At 40.3% G+C, this 14051-nt stretch overlaps 1 protein-coding gene across 5 annotated transcripts in view, besides 8 other annotated features; it reads left to right on the forward strand.

The window, feature by feature from the left end:
• Nucleotides 958–1097: a silencer, noted in NCBI's record as "silent region_15672". NCBI's record gives its function as "represses an Ori minimal core promoter by ATAC-STARR-seq in GM12878 lymphoblastoid cells {active_cell/tissue: GM12878}" and the evidence as "EXISTENCE:reporter gene assay evidence [ECO:0000049][PMID:35858748]".
• Nucleotides 4474–4643: a silencer, noted in NCBI's record as "silent region_15673". NCBI's record gives its function as "represses an Ori minimal core promoter by ATAC-STARR-seq in GM12878 lymphoblastoid cells {active_cell/tissue: GM12878}" and the evidence as "EXISTENCE:reporter gene assay evidence [ECO:0000049][PMID:35858748]".
• The window catches only part of HSPA4L (heat shock protein family A (Hsp70) member 4 like), a 58938-nt gene continuing 49473 nt past the window's right edge, over nt 4587–14051 (forward strand). For 3 of the 5 annotated variants that reach the window (NM_014278.4, NM_001317383.2, XM_011531745.4), the window contains exon 1: nt 5113–5448. In NM_014278.4, the coding sequence (NP_055093.2) occupies nt 5342–5448 (107 nt within the window). In that variant the 5' untranslated portion in view covers nt 5113–5341. Of the gene's footprint in view, nt 4853–5112; nt 5449–6313; nt 6472–14051 lie in introns of those variants that run through there. The other 2 variants (NM_001317381.2, NM_001317382.2) reach the window with 2 other exon arrangements.
• Nucleotides 4924–4993: a silencer, noted in NCBI's record as "silent region_15674". NCBI's record gives its function as "represses an Ori minimal core promoter by ATAC-STARR-seq in GM12878 lymphoblastoid cells {active_cell/tissue: GM12878}" and the evidence as "EXISTENCE:reporter gene assay evidence [ECO:0000049][PMID:35858748]".
• Nucleotides 5134–5283: an enhancer, noted in NCBI's record as "active region_21884". NCBI's record gives its function as "activates an Ori minimal core promoter by ATAC-STARR-seq in GM12878 lymphoblastoid cells {active_cell/tissue: GM12878}" and the evidence as "EXISTENCE:reporter gene assay evidence [ECO:0000049][PMID:35858748]".
• Nucleotides 5134–6175: a biological region, named in NCBI's record as "H3K27ac-H3K4me1 hESC enhancer GRCh37_chr4:128703547-128704539".
• Nucleotides 5183–6175: an enhancer, noted in NCBI's record as "H3K27ac-H3K4me1 hESC enhancer chr4:128703547-128704539 (GRCh37/hg19 assembly coordinates)". NCBI's record gives its function as "activates a minimal SCP1, AML or CMV promoter by ChIP-STARR-seq in naive H9 embryonic stem cells {active_cell/tissue: H9 hESC(naive)}" and the evidence as "EXISTENCE:reporter gene assay evidence [ECO:0000049][PMID:30033119]".
• Nucleotides 5784–5863: an enhancer, noted in NCBI's record as "active region_21885". NCBI's record gives its function as "activates an Ori minimal core promoter by ATAC-STARR-seq in GM12878 lymphoblastoid cells {active_cell/tissue: GM12878}" and the evidence as "EXISTENCE:reporter gene assay evidence [ECO:0000049][PMID:35858748]".
• Nucleotides 7275–7514: an enhancer, noted in NCBI's record as "active region_21886". NCBI's record gives its function as "activates an Ori minimal core promoter by ATAC-STARR-seq in GM12878 lymphoblastoid cells {active_cell/tissue: GM12878}" and the evidence as "EXISTENCE:reporter gene assay evidence [ECO:0000049][PMID:35858748]".

Below are 14051 nucleotides of genomic sequence, written 5' to 3' on the forward strand. Positions count from 1 at the left end.
TCTTGAGTGAATAAGTAAAAGCAAATCTACAATTAAAGACATAATAAAATTGCAAAATATCAAAGAAAAGACAAACTGATTATTTAAAAAGGAACATTATTTACACTCAATAATGGATGACAAAAGATTGGAAAATACTGTCAAAATTTCTACAGTCAGCCAAGTTATTATTAAACAGTTCCATGACAGTAATATTTTCAAACAAACAAAGTAGTTCACTATTCAGAGACCTTTGCTTAGCAGTCCCCAACCTTTTTGGTATGAGGGACCAATTTCATGGAAGACAGTTTTTTGCACAAATTGGGGGAGGATGTTTGGAATGAAACTGTTCCACCTCAGATCATCAGGCATTAGAGTCTCATAAGGAGCATGAAATTTAGGTCCCTTGCATGCGCAGTTCACAATAGGGTTCACATTCCTATGAGAATCTAATGCCACCTGATGGGAGGCACAGCTGAGGTGGTAATGCTTGCCTGCCCTCTGCTTACCTGCCACGTGCCCAGTTCATAACAGGCCACTGACCAGTTGGCTGCTTGGGGATTGGGGACCCCTGCCTTTGCTGAAAGGAACCGAACTCAAGAAGAAGTCAAGTTGAATGCAAGCAGCAACAAAGTAAAGAAATTGTTAAACATGTTAGTAGACCTAGATAAACACTGCCTGTGAAAGGAAAAATACATACTTTTTGGTGAGAGGAGTGACTTACCTTGATGAATTTCAGAATAATTTAGCCTCTTTCTCACTTTTCTTGGGAGCCTACACACATTCTTTTCTCTTGCTCTTTGATATGAGTTTATAGGAGAAGACCCTAATGTAACATTAGTGTGTATTACTGTGACTAGATAGATAAGTCTACTTAATTCTGGGGTGCAATAATTAACAAACCCATAGGCACCTAAGACATTTCTCTAATGTTAATGTTAGGTACACAGCTAAGGCTAATCCTCAGAGAAGCAGCCTGCCTACAAAATCACACCTATAGGCAAAAATAGAGCAGCCTGGGGAAAACTCAGGCTGCACCTGCACAGATAAGCAGGCAGGGTCCAGCACAGAAGCCTTTTGTTCTTTATGTGATTGGCAGGCTCCCAGGAAAAAGTGTCCTCCCCTTTTCAGACATGTACACGGTGGGCTCCATGGGAACTTCTGTAGGGAGAAGGAGGGATTACCTAAATTAAGCCCGCAGTTACAGAAACAAGAGAAGTGGCACTTTGTGCTTGCCTAGAGACATACCCACAACTACATAAGATAAGGGGAGTTGCACAGACAGCTACTAATAAGAGAAACTACTCAAACAGCTACAGAGATGAGGGGAGTTTCTTATAAAAGCTTTTGAATTCAACTCTAAAAACAGCAACCCACTAGGGCTCCCCTCTACACTGTGCAGAGGTTTCTTCTTCTGCTTATTAAACTTTCGCTCCTATCTCACCCTTTGCATCCACGCTCCTTCGGTCGTGAGACAACGAACTCGGATAACACCTTAGACAACAAGACCAGTGACCATTGGCCTGTTTCATTTTATCCTCATTGCCTACTCTCCAACTTCAATTCTTTGAAAATTCAGGTAGGAATATAGCTAAAATGGTACGTAGAAGGAAATTTACAGCTTCAAGTGTATGTATTAGAAAACAAGAAACTGAAAATCAATGAACTAGAAAAGGAATAAACAAAAATAGTGAAACAAAGAGCAGATGGAACAGAAAACAAAGACAATTAAGTCAGGCAAGAAAACCAAAAGCTGGTTCTTTTAACAAACCATACTGACAGGAACCAAGAAAAGGAAGAGATTAAAATAAAGAATATTAAGAATGAAAAAGATGTACATATAACTACTGAAGAGATTTTTTTAAGTGAATAATCAACTTTGTGCCAACAAACTTGAAAACCTAGATGAAATGGTAAATTTTTAATAATACAAATAACCAATAATGATTCAAGAATAATAGAAAACATAGACCATAACCACTAAAGAAATTTAATCATTCATCATAAACCTCATAAACTCTAGGCTAAGATGGTTTACAGCCCTTTTTTTTTTTTTTTTTTTTTTTGAGACGGAGTTTCTCTCTTGTTGCCCAGGTTGGAGTGCAATGACGCAATCTCGGCTCACCACAACCTCCGCCTCCGAGGTTCAAGCAATTCTCCTGCCTCAGCCTCCTGTGTAGCTGGAATTACAGGCATGTGCCACCACGCCCGGCTAATTTTGTATTTTTAGCAGAGATGGGTTTTCGCCATGTTGGTCAGGCTGGTCTCAAACTCCTGACCTCAGGTGATCCGCCCGCCTCGGCCCCCAAAGTGCTGGGATTACAAGCGTGAGCCACCCCGCCCAGCCGGTTTACAGGCTTTTCTTACCAAAACTATCAGAAGGGAACAAAAAAGAGGAAACCCCTTTGGCTTCCTCTATGAGGCGATAATCTTGACGCCAATAAAAAGAGTAAAGAAAGAAAAAGGCCAGTTTCATTTATGAATATAGATGTAAAGATCCTTCATAAAATAATCACAAGCCAAAACAATCAGAACCATCATGGCCTTTCTGGTTTATCCCAGGGATACAAGGATGTTAGAAAACTCTAGTAACGTTATTCATTGTATTAACAAATTAAAGGGCAACAAACAGGTCATTAGATGATGGTTAACATTTGTTAAGTTTCAGTATCCACTTACAGGCGTGTGAGTGGATTTTATGAGAAAAATCTCTTAGCAAAGTAGGAATAGAAGATAATTTTGTTAACTTTCTTACATCATAAACACAAAGGTATTTAATGTTAGGGACAAGACAAGGATGCTTACCACTACTGTTTATTTTCAAAATTTTACTGGAGCACTTAAGCAACATAATCCAGGCAAAACAATAAGAAACAGAAGAAATAGAAATGAAGAAATTCATTATTTCCCAGGCCATATTGTTCTATACACAGAAAATCCAAGAAATTCTGCAAATACTTGAATTTAGAATACAGCAAGGTTGCTGGATACATGACCAATGTACATGAATCAGGATCATTCAGCAGCTAAGCATAGCTAGCATTTATTGACCGTTTGGTGCCAGGGACTGATGCAGTGCTTACATTATTTAATCATAAAAACAGCCCAGTAGGCATATTTGTCCTCATTTTAACAGACTGAACCTGTGGCTTGGAGCATTAAGTAACTTGCCAAACGTTATACAGGTAGTAAGTTAGGCAAGCCTGGTACTACAACCCAAATCTGTGTGACCCCAAAGCCCGTCATGGTTTTAACCACTGGGTACTCTCACGTCCTGCCAGTAATTGTAAGGAACGTGATGATAACACCACTTTGCTCCTGGCCTCAACTTCCTTTTTACTTTGATATTTTAAGTGGTATTTTTAATAGGAAAAAAAAAAAACATTCTTACACCCTCAAGTTGTATAGACAACATGGATAAACTAATGGAATTAAGATAAATTAATTGTACTAGGAGAATTTCAGGATATTCTGGAATAAATCTAGATAGTGATGGCCGATGTCAGAAGAGGTGTGTGAGGAGAACTGGTGGAAGTCACAGGCGCCCAGCAGGACCAGGGCCCAGGGTTCAGTCGCAGGGCAACGCCCAATCCCTGTTCTGCTCACGAGCTGCCCGCTGGGACGCCGAGTTCTGCGGTGTCTCAGAGCGCAGCTTCACCCAGGGGCTCCACGTCTCCTGAGTGCTCATGAAGGGAAGAGAGGCCTGATTGATTTCTTCAATGTAGAGACCAGAGCCCAAGCAATACTGTACAATCCAGTTGCCTCAGTATTGCCCTTGAAAATGGATTTCACGTTCATTCTAACAGCAGCAGGAACTATAGCCACCCTTGCTGCTGCTGCTGCTGTAGCAACATTATTAATAGTAAAAAATCTAAGTTATTTAAAGAAGTGGACAACTAGGGATAATCAGAATACTAAAGAATCTAGTAAACAAAACAAACAAACAAAAAAACACGCCTGTTTTCAAGATGGATACCAAAATGGAACAGGAAAACACACAAAGAATTGGATGAGAAGGAACAGAGACTAGATGAAGAGGACGGGGAGGAACAGGGAACAGACCAAGGACTGGCAGAGAAGGAACAGGGCACACACGTAAAAGTGAACGAAAAGCAACAAGACAGCCAAATTTCTTAAGTGTAACATAAAACTTGGTTAATTACAGACAGGCAACACATGCCGATCAAACCAAGAGGGAGGGCGCTGGACCACACTGGGCTCTTTTTTGAGGACCACAGGGCAGCGGCTGGAGGCTAAAGCACAGACTTGGCTGGTGTGAGTGGCACACTTAATTAAGGTCACTTTCCTGTAAAACTGGTTTCCAGAGACAAGGGTCAGCGGCGGGGCCAGCATCTTTTAGAAAGGTGTGAGGAAAGGTACGTGGAGGGAAAGTTGTCAGTGTGATCTTATTTCTTGACAGAAGTTTGACTTTTGATATTTCAAATCCTGCTGATGAAAAAAGAAAAAAACCTAACATGTGCTCATCCCGCTTTCGCACAAGAGTCTGTCCCGGGCTCGGCAGCTCCCCCGGGGCTGGACAGGGCGGAGCGGCGGACGTCGGACAATGCGCGCCACCTCACAGAGCCGGGCGCGGCGGGCCTCCAGCCACAAGGGGAGGGCGCCGGGCTGCACATGGGCCCCTCGGGGAGGCGAGGCCTGCGGGCGAGCCCTTCTGAGGGCAGGGGGTGAGGGGGCGGCGCCCGCCAGCCAGGACAGCATCCTGCCGCCGTGACAAGCACGCCTCCGGTTGCCAAAACAACCCAAAAATGTGCCTCAAAACACGTTCGCAAAGCCCCGGGCCGGCCGGTCGCCTGCCTCTCACCTAGCCCGACCGCCCGACGTCCTACTGCCGAGCGAGGGCGAGCAAGCCAATGTGCCTAGCCTCCTTTCCCCGATCCTCCCCGCCCCGCCTTCCCGCTTCTCCCGCCCCCGGATAGCTCAGCAGCCTCCATTTTCCAGATCTTTCTCGAACCCGCAGCTTCTTGGGCAGCCGTTGCCCGAGTGCTGACGGAAGCGGCCGAAGTCCGGGCCCGGAGCTGGCTCGGGCGCGGAGCGGAGGCTCGCGCGCCTCCCGGGCAGCCGAGCGCGCAGGCGCAGGTCCCAGTAACCGCCGGTTGGAGGCGGCCGAACCGCAGTAGGGAAAGACCCAGGCTGCGGGACGCGGTGCAGGCTGCGGCGCTGACGGCCTCTGCTCCTTCCGCGGGTTTCCGACTCCCTGCCCTAGATTTTCTGCTTAGCGACTTGGGGTCCCCTCTCGTTTGCTTCTGGTAGGAGTCGCAATCCCAGCAGCAATAGCCCAGAAGAGGACACGGTTCCCGTACCGAAGGGTTCAGTACCAGCAGCCCGACCATCACGCGGCGGGATGTCTGTGGTTGGCATTGACCTCGGCTTTCTCAACTGCTACATTGCTGTCGCGAGAAGTGGCGGCATCGAGACCATCGCCAATGAGTACAGCGACAGGTGTACCCCGTAAGTGCCTCTGCTGAGCATCACCTCGACCCTAAGAAACGTTTTTCTCTCCCGTCCTTAACGTTTGTCCTGTCTGCTCGCTTCCTCGGATTTTCCCCTAACGTGCGCCGAACCCCGAGATGACAGGTGCAACCCGTCAACCGCAGTCCCTAGAGACCGCCGGGTGGCAGTCGGACTTCCTCGCCCCGCAAAGCTTCTTTTCCTTCAAGGACGAGGGACCGCACTAGTTTGCGCAGCTCTCTTTTCTGTACCTACGCACGTCCCCTGCCTCGTGCCGCTGTCCCCCAACGCCTCTTTTGCTTGCGAGGAAGAGGTTGCTGTGGGACAGCCCCTGGCGTCCGGAATATTGAGAAAGATCTCCGGTTGCCTCTAACGAGGTTTACGTGGGATTATCGGCCCCGCGCCAGCTGCCCTCCTTCCTTTCCCCGTCCCTCTGGGTGACAGCTTTTTCTCAGAAAAGTAAAAAGTCAGCTTCGGCTGCACACGTCAGAGATGAATTGCAGGTTCATCTGGCCCCGAAAGCCTTTTTTTTTTTTTTAAGGGCGGGGAGTGAGGCATGTGGGGTTTTACAAAACCCAGTGCCCTTGAGAACTGCAGGTAATGGAGCCGGTTTACAGGGCCAGGTCAATGGTGCATTGATAGGGAGAGCCTCGGGATGGGAGTCACTGGCCTTGTGCATTGGTAACTACGTCAGTTGCTGGAATGCGGCGGGGTTGGGTCGGACCAAAAGCGTGTTTCTGCAGAGTGAATTGCCGGAGTCGGGGGCAGCTGTCCCGTATAAACATGACTGTGGAGTGATTCTATTATGAACGCTTAATGAAAGGCTTAGGAGGAGCGGCGTTATGTCATGGAAACATGTTTCCACATGTTCCGTTGTTTCTCTGGCCTGGGAAGTTTGTTGGCAAGGAATATAATGAAGTAATTCTGAAATATGAAAAACTAGTTGCTGCTTATAGGCTGCTGTTACTGGTAATTTTATGAGGAAACCAACTGTATGAAACCTATATTACTTTTTATGGAAAGGTAATTTGGCATCTTAATTTGACCGTTCTGAATGGTCCAAAATATAATACCTTAACTATACTAAAACAAGGTCAGTGTCCAATGGTCTTTAAATGCCTCATTTACTATTCTATGGAAAGCTTTAAAATATGGCAAAAAGATGTTGAAGAGTAGCTCACTTGAAGCAGTCTGTGCTTTGATTTCTTTCCAAGAAGATTCTAGAAGGTTTTATACCTTTTTTCGTAGATGTACACGTTTCTTCTATTGAAATTTTAAACGTTTTGGACGTTTATATTTTCAATACATGGGCATAGATAAGGTAATCCTCAATAATGTTTGAACTCTTCTACTTTTTACATCTTTTTCTGGCTTTTATGCACAGTGAGAGGCCGAAACAGTAACTGTGAAGTCGATGAATTCGTCTCTACAAGGTTTTATATTAAGCCACAACAAATACTGGCTTTCGCCAGAAACAGACCGGAAATTCCACTCTCCACCTTCAGCAGAGTAGGGGTTAAAAATGGGAGCAATCTTTGGCTTCATTGACTCTCAACCTATAGAGAAAAAACTGAGAGGTAGGGTGGACATTCTTTTAGTCCTTAAAGCCATATCCTAAAAGATCAGAAACCAGAACAGTAAGAAAGATCGATCTGCATTTCCAGGCTGAGAAATCTCTTTAGCAGTGAGTGAACCTGTGATTCTTTAAAGATCCTGGCCGGCCAGACTTAGTTCTTTAAAAAGTGGGCTTCTAGAGTCTTCTAAAAGTCTCTTTGTTATTGTACTTAGGCATATTCGCTGGTTCTGTGTGGTTGAGAAGTAATGTGATATTTCTGATTTGTGTGCTAGAAAGCCAATAGTAATATCTAGATTTAATGAGCCTAATCTAAACTAGAAAGTTCTTAAAAAGTGAAAGGATATTCTCACTTAGCTTGCATCAGCAACTCTTCTCTCCATGGCTGGGCACTGTCACTTACCTCAGAAGTGTATCTTTTGTTGTTTCTGAACAAAAGTACTTCATGGTAGTGTAGTGCTCTTACACTATGTATTACTTTGTGGGTCCAATTGTTGAGGAAAAACATAGCCCTTCCGGGCCTCAGGACATTTATCCATCAATTCAACACCGATCATGCAAAAAGCATTGTAACTATTAGATAACCTTTAACTTCTCTAATACACCACAGTATTTAATAACACACATAAATAAAATGTTAGCTTTGCAAATAAAATGTTTTTCATATTCCAATTGCTTACATCAAGGTAATGTGACATATTTTCTAAGATGTGAATACATTATAAAATGATCCTATGAAAAGAGGAAAGAAATGTTCAATTTAGTTGTTTTCAGCATTCATACATTTTACGTTTCTTTCATTAACATATTTGATTGCTTATGGTTGAGAGGATTCCATATAAACCAAGAAGGACAGTTTAATGAAAAAGAACCAAGTTTTGGCCTATAATTAAGGGACAAAAGACAAGTTAATTTAACCTATTTAATTCAGATTCACCTTCTGTAAAGTTAGAGTGTTTATACTAGCCTCTCATCTCCTGCATAAGTTGAAGAGGGAGAGAGAAATTAACCTGCATAAATTGAAGAGACAAAATAATTTTCCTGAACATCTTATTGAAAAATTATTACATAATAATATGTGCTCATTATAAAAAATACTGGCACATTAAAAGGTGAAATTAAAAATTTAATTCCTCCAGATGGTTTTCTGTGTGTGTTTTCAAAGGGAAGGGGAAGTATTTACTTTATGTTTAGTAACCTTTTTCTTTTTTTCTTTTTTTTTTTAAGACGTAGTCTTGCTCTTGTTGCCCAGGCTAGAGTGCAGTGGCGCGTTTTCAGCTCACTGCAACCTCCGCCTCCTGGGTTCAAGCGATTCTCCTGCCTCAGCCTCCCGAGTAGCTGGAATTACAGGCAACGACCACCACGCCTAGCTATTTTTGTATTTTTAGTAGAGACGGGGTTTCACCATGTTGTCCAGGCTGGTCTCGAACTCCTGACCTCAGGTGATCCACCCGCCTCGGCCTCCCAAAGTGCTGGGATTACAGGTGTGAGCCACTGCACCCAGCCTATGTTTAGTAACCTTTTTCTATGTAAAACATACATATTTCTATACTATCAGTTGTAGTGTCTGTATAATCATGATAATTTAATCCATAGCCTAATAATTCAGGTTGTTTATGATACTTTGTAAACAGTGTTGCAATAACTATCTTTGTAACTAAATTTTTGATCCTTCAAGTAAATTCCTAGAAGTAGAATTACTGAGTGTCCACATTTTTAAAGGCCTGGTACATGTCTGCATTGTTACTTAAAACAATTAGAATTTCCATCCCAGGCTTAAGTATACCAAGGTGATTAGTTTCACACATGGGGAAAAAAATGATAGCCAAGAATCGTCATTAAGTATCAAATTAAAGCGTGTGGTAAATTGGAATAGTGATTGCTATGTGCTAAGCAAGCATTGTCATATGTATCACAATTCTGTGAGTTTGATCATACTAACTATCTTTTTTTTCCGTAAGAAGCCTAAAGCAAAGTTAAATCACTTGGCCAAAAATTAGTAAAACAATGAATTGGATTCTGTTTCAGGCCTCTCTGACCCTAGAACCCAAATGTCTTTCCAGTATCCATTGTTGTAAGGATGGCATATACGTAACTAGGTTAATGATGAAAGGAACAAATTACCTGGTTGAGCAGTTATTGTACAGGAAAGCATCTTTGCTCTACCATCAATAAATGTCTAATTTTAGCTAGTTTTTAAGAAATACTATCTTTTTTAAAAACATTATTTTAATAATTCCTAAAAATTTTTTTGACACAGGGTCTTGGTCTGTTGCCCAGGCTGGAGTACAGTGGTACAGTCATAGCTCACTGCAGCCTTGAGTTCCTGGGCTCAAAGGATCCTCCCACCTCAGCTTCCTGAATAGCTAGGACTACAGGTGCATGCCACCATGCCACACTAATTTTATTTTTTTCCAACAGAGACAAGGTCTTGCCATATTGCCTAGGCTAGTCTCGAACTCCTGGCCTCAAGCCATCTTCCCATCTTGGCCTCCCAAAGTGCTGGGATTATAGGCGTGAACCAACGTGCCTGGCCAGTAATTCTTTTAAGTTATGTTAAGGACATGTAAAAATCTTACTTTGTTTTTAAAATTCATAAAAAATACATACAAAACATATTAGTGTAAACATTTGGAGAAAAAGTAGTGTGGAAGACAATAAACTACTATTAATAATGGATAGATACTTCTCAGAGGTAGAATTATGGAGGAGGTGCTTTTAATTTATAGTCTGTAATTAATACTTTGTAATAGGGAATATGGATTTTCTTTAAATGAAACTGTGTCAAGATTTTTGTTAGGAATATTTTATCATCAAAATTCTTTATGATTCTTCAATATTCAGTTCTCTGGTTTTCTATCTTATTTTTTCCTATTTCTTTACTAGCATATGAATAATCTGGAAATATGGGAAAATGCTGTTTAAACACTGTTTCAGATGAGTGAGACCCCTCTTAAATGCATGAAAATAGAAATCACTTTGGTGCACTGAAAACAACAGCACATAGAAAATGCCAAATCGGGGGGTTAACTGTGGCTATAATAGATGGGCATTTTCTGGTGATGGCAGTTTGGGATGAAGAAGAGGCTTTTACCTTTTTTTGTTAAATATTCTTTTTACTACATGAGTTGGTTTTATATGTTTTACTATTTGAGCTTATATTTTATTTAAAATATTTTAAATGCTGAAGAATTACACAAAGTAAGTCTCCCCCTTCATCCCTTCCCAACCACATCCTAAAGTTTGATTTATGTTTCTAGCTATACAAGTATGTGATTATATGTACATAACTGGGATTTTTTAACAAAAGCAGAATTACATTACATTCTGCTTTCATTAAAAAATAGTTTTTAAGTATTTTGCAAATTGCTTTCTTTTCACCTCAAAATATTGTGGACATCTCAAACTTATGGCTCTAATTTACTTCATTCTTTTTGCTAGCTGTATAGTATCCCATTGATACAGTGACTGTTTTGGACATTTCAAGTTAATATTTTGCTAGCGACATATAAAAATTCAGTGAATACCTTTGCTTTTTTTAAATCAAATTTGCTGAGATGAGTGAAAAGCCAGGTTATTTCTAAATGTTTAACATTGAACTGACTTCCTTAAGCACTGAAAAAAAAAAGGTTTAATATAGCACTGATAGTCTTTTAATATGTGGTCATTATAAATTAATGAGTATAGTTGTGTTGTGATGAAACTTTATTTACAAAAATAGGTTGCAGGTAGTGGTAGTTTGCAAACTCCTGGTCTAAACAATTATAACCAAAAGAATTTTAACATTGTTACGCATTGATATTTGTGTTTGAACCAAGTGAATTATAGGTAATATGAGTTTTTCAAATAATATATCTAATATAATAATTTAATAGTTAAATAATGTATCAAATTTAATGTAGCTAGTATACCTAATCAGCTTTTAAAATATTGTCTACCTATGTAAATATTTGTGTGGTTTCTACTAATGGCTTCAAGCTAATTTATTTATGATTACCTTTACTAAGCATTTGAAAACTCTTAAATTATTATTGTTTATATATTGTTAAATGTTTAATTATTTGTCCATAATGAAAAGCTGAAAGCTTTGTTATTACTAAATCATATGTGCCCAGAAGTCTTATTTTTAAGTAGCAAGCTAGAAAGCAAATTGCAGCAGTGAGTTTTTTTTAGAGCATTCTTCCCCCTCCCCCTTCTAGGGCAACATTTTTTCCAAATAATTTGAGAAACAATATCCAGATGTTTTCTTTGCTGTAGAATTTTGTAGATCCCTTAATTTGTTCATAAGCATTGAAATTCTCCAAGAAAGGGATGTTTTTCCCAAGCTTATTTGAACGTCTGAGGAATTATGTTTCATAGAACACTATTTGGGAAATGTTGTTCTAGGGCAGAGGTTCTCAACTGGAGGTGATTTTGCCTCTGAAGGGATAACTGACAGAATCTGAGATATTTTGGGGTATGTCACAACTGAGGTCTAAAGAGGAGGTACTACTGGCATCTAGTGGTTGGAGGCTAGGAATACTCCTAATATCCGACAGTGCATTACAGTACAGCCCCAGTGACCCAACAAAGAATTATCTGGGCCAAGATGTCAGTAGTGCCAAGGTAGAGAAATCCTGCTCTGTACACATCTTGGCAAGCATAGTTGAAACTATTTGTTCAGCCTTTGATTTAAACCTATGGATTACAATGATAGCAGAGGGTAAAGAGTAATTGTGATTTTATGGAACTGGCAAGGAAAAGAAAAGGGCTGTTTTTAAAGATTAGAGAGTGAGGATTGAATCTTAATGGAGAATAATAGGGAGCAAACAAACTTAGTACTGAGCTTTTAGGCAACAAATCTCTTCTGGTAGTATGTATTTTCTCCAACCTAATTACGCTTGGCCTTATAAAAATTAGCTTTTTGAGAGAAGAAGAAAATCCTAATTTTAAAGAGAAAATACAGATACAGCTTTCTTAAAGTAGCATCTTGTCATCTGATTTTTATGCCCCTCTCCTACTAAAAGGAACATAGGACATTTAGAAATCTTCATTGTTTAGAATTTTGTGGTATTTTCTGATAGTCTGAGATTACCACACAATAGCAAGAGCAGATTGGATATTATAGATTTAAACTGCATTGAAAACCGTCCCTGGCCGGGCACGGTGGCTCACGCCTGTAATCCCAGCACTTTGGGAGGCTGAGGCGGGCAGATCACAAGGTCAGGAGATCAAGACCATCCTGGCTAACATGGTGAAACCCTGTCTCTACTAAAAATACAAAAAAAATTAGCCGGGCATGGTGGCGGGTGCCTGTAGTCCCAGCTACTCGGGAGGCTGAGGCAGGAGAATGGCGTGAACCCGGGAGGTGGAGGTTGCAGTGAGCTGAGACTGCGCTACTGCACTCCAGCCTGGGCGACAGAGCGAGATTCTGTCTCAAAAAAAAAAAGAAAACCCTCCCTTTATTTTAGCCATAAAATGACATTTCTAAATAGTAGTTGAAATAATCAATACAAAGTATAATATAGATTATGCTGTATACACTTGGATAAACTGTATCTTTTTCTGTGAAAACTCTTACATCAGCCTAATATGTGTTATAATGTGTCTGTTTCCCTTGCTATTACTAATATAAAAGTTTTGAGAGCAAATATGTGTTTAATTTATTTGGGTTTTTCTGAAAATACTTGGCAGGTATTTTTTATTTCATGATTGTAACATCCTGGAATGTATTTGAAAGAAAATCGAAGGAGTTTGAAGGGTGCCTTTATAAAATGGGTTTTCTATGTATTTTAAACTGGGCATTTCCAAGCCTGGTTAAATGACAGATTTTTTAACTTTAAAAGTTGTCTGCTTTCAACTTCAGAGAATATCTCATACTGGTAACTGTTTAGCTTTCTTTGTGAAGCGATACATGTATGAAACACATTTCAAGGAACCAGCGCTTAATGATAGTTGAATCTGAATCTTCTTTGGCTCTACTGTTCTAACAAAAATTAAACTCTTGAGAATCAACCTACAAATAAGATTTTCAGTGTAGTCAAGTGATGGTAGCCTAGTATTGAAAAATTAGAAGTATTTGAAAGTGTGTCCAAATAATGGAGTTGGGAGCAAGATGAGTTATAAGGTAGGCTGAGAAATGGCAAACGCATATTTTCTCTAATAGATGAGTTTTAGGATGGAATGCCAACATCCACACATTACCAAATTGGATATGTAAATTTTTACTCTGGCAGAGAATATGTTGAATCAAGGAGTTATTTATAAGAGATGTGAAGATGTCATCTAAGCCACTGATTCCTGCTATACCCTTATTTTCCTGTTTTTCACCAAATCACAACTAAAGACTAGTAACTTCCATTTCCTCTTTAATTTGACCATCACTTTTAACATTTCAGTTCTAAATATATATTTGCTTGGATGCCTCAAACTTACCTCAAGCCTAATGTGTTCACAATAGAGTTTGTGACTGTCCTGTCCCCAAACCTATCTTTCTTAGAAAATTTTCTGTCTCATTGAGTGCAACTAGAAACCTAGATATTATTACTGTCACTTGCCTCTTCTTACTATCTAGTCCAGCACTGTCCAATAAAAGCATATGAGCTACATAGGTAATTTTAAATGTTTTAATAGAGCCAGGTACAGTGGCTGACACCTGTAATCCCAGCACTTTGGGAGGCCAAGGCAGGTGGATCACTTGAGCCTAGGAGACTAGCCTGGGCAACATGGTGAAACCCTATCTCTACAAAAAATTTTAAAAATCAGCCAGTAGTCCTAGTTGCTCAGGAGGCTGAGATAGGAGGATCGCTTGAGCCCTGCAGGTCAAGGCCTCAGTGAGCCAAGATTACGCCACTGCACTCCAGCCTGGGTGACAGAGCAAGACCCTGTCTCCAAAAAAAAAAAGTTCCAATAATTAAAAAGGCAAAATGAAGCAAGTGAGATTAATTTTAATATATTTTATTTAATTCAGTATATCCAAAATTTTATCTCAATATGTAATCAATATTTTTAAATTGAGATATTTTACTTAGTATTAAATTTTTAGAATCTG

Source organism: Homo sapiens, chromosome 4 (genome assembly GCF_000001405.40).
Source record: "Homo sapiens chromosome 4, GRCh38.p14 Primary Assembly".
NCBI lineage: Eukaryota > Metazoa > Chordata > Mammalia > Primates > Hominidae > Homo > Homo sapiens.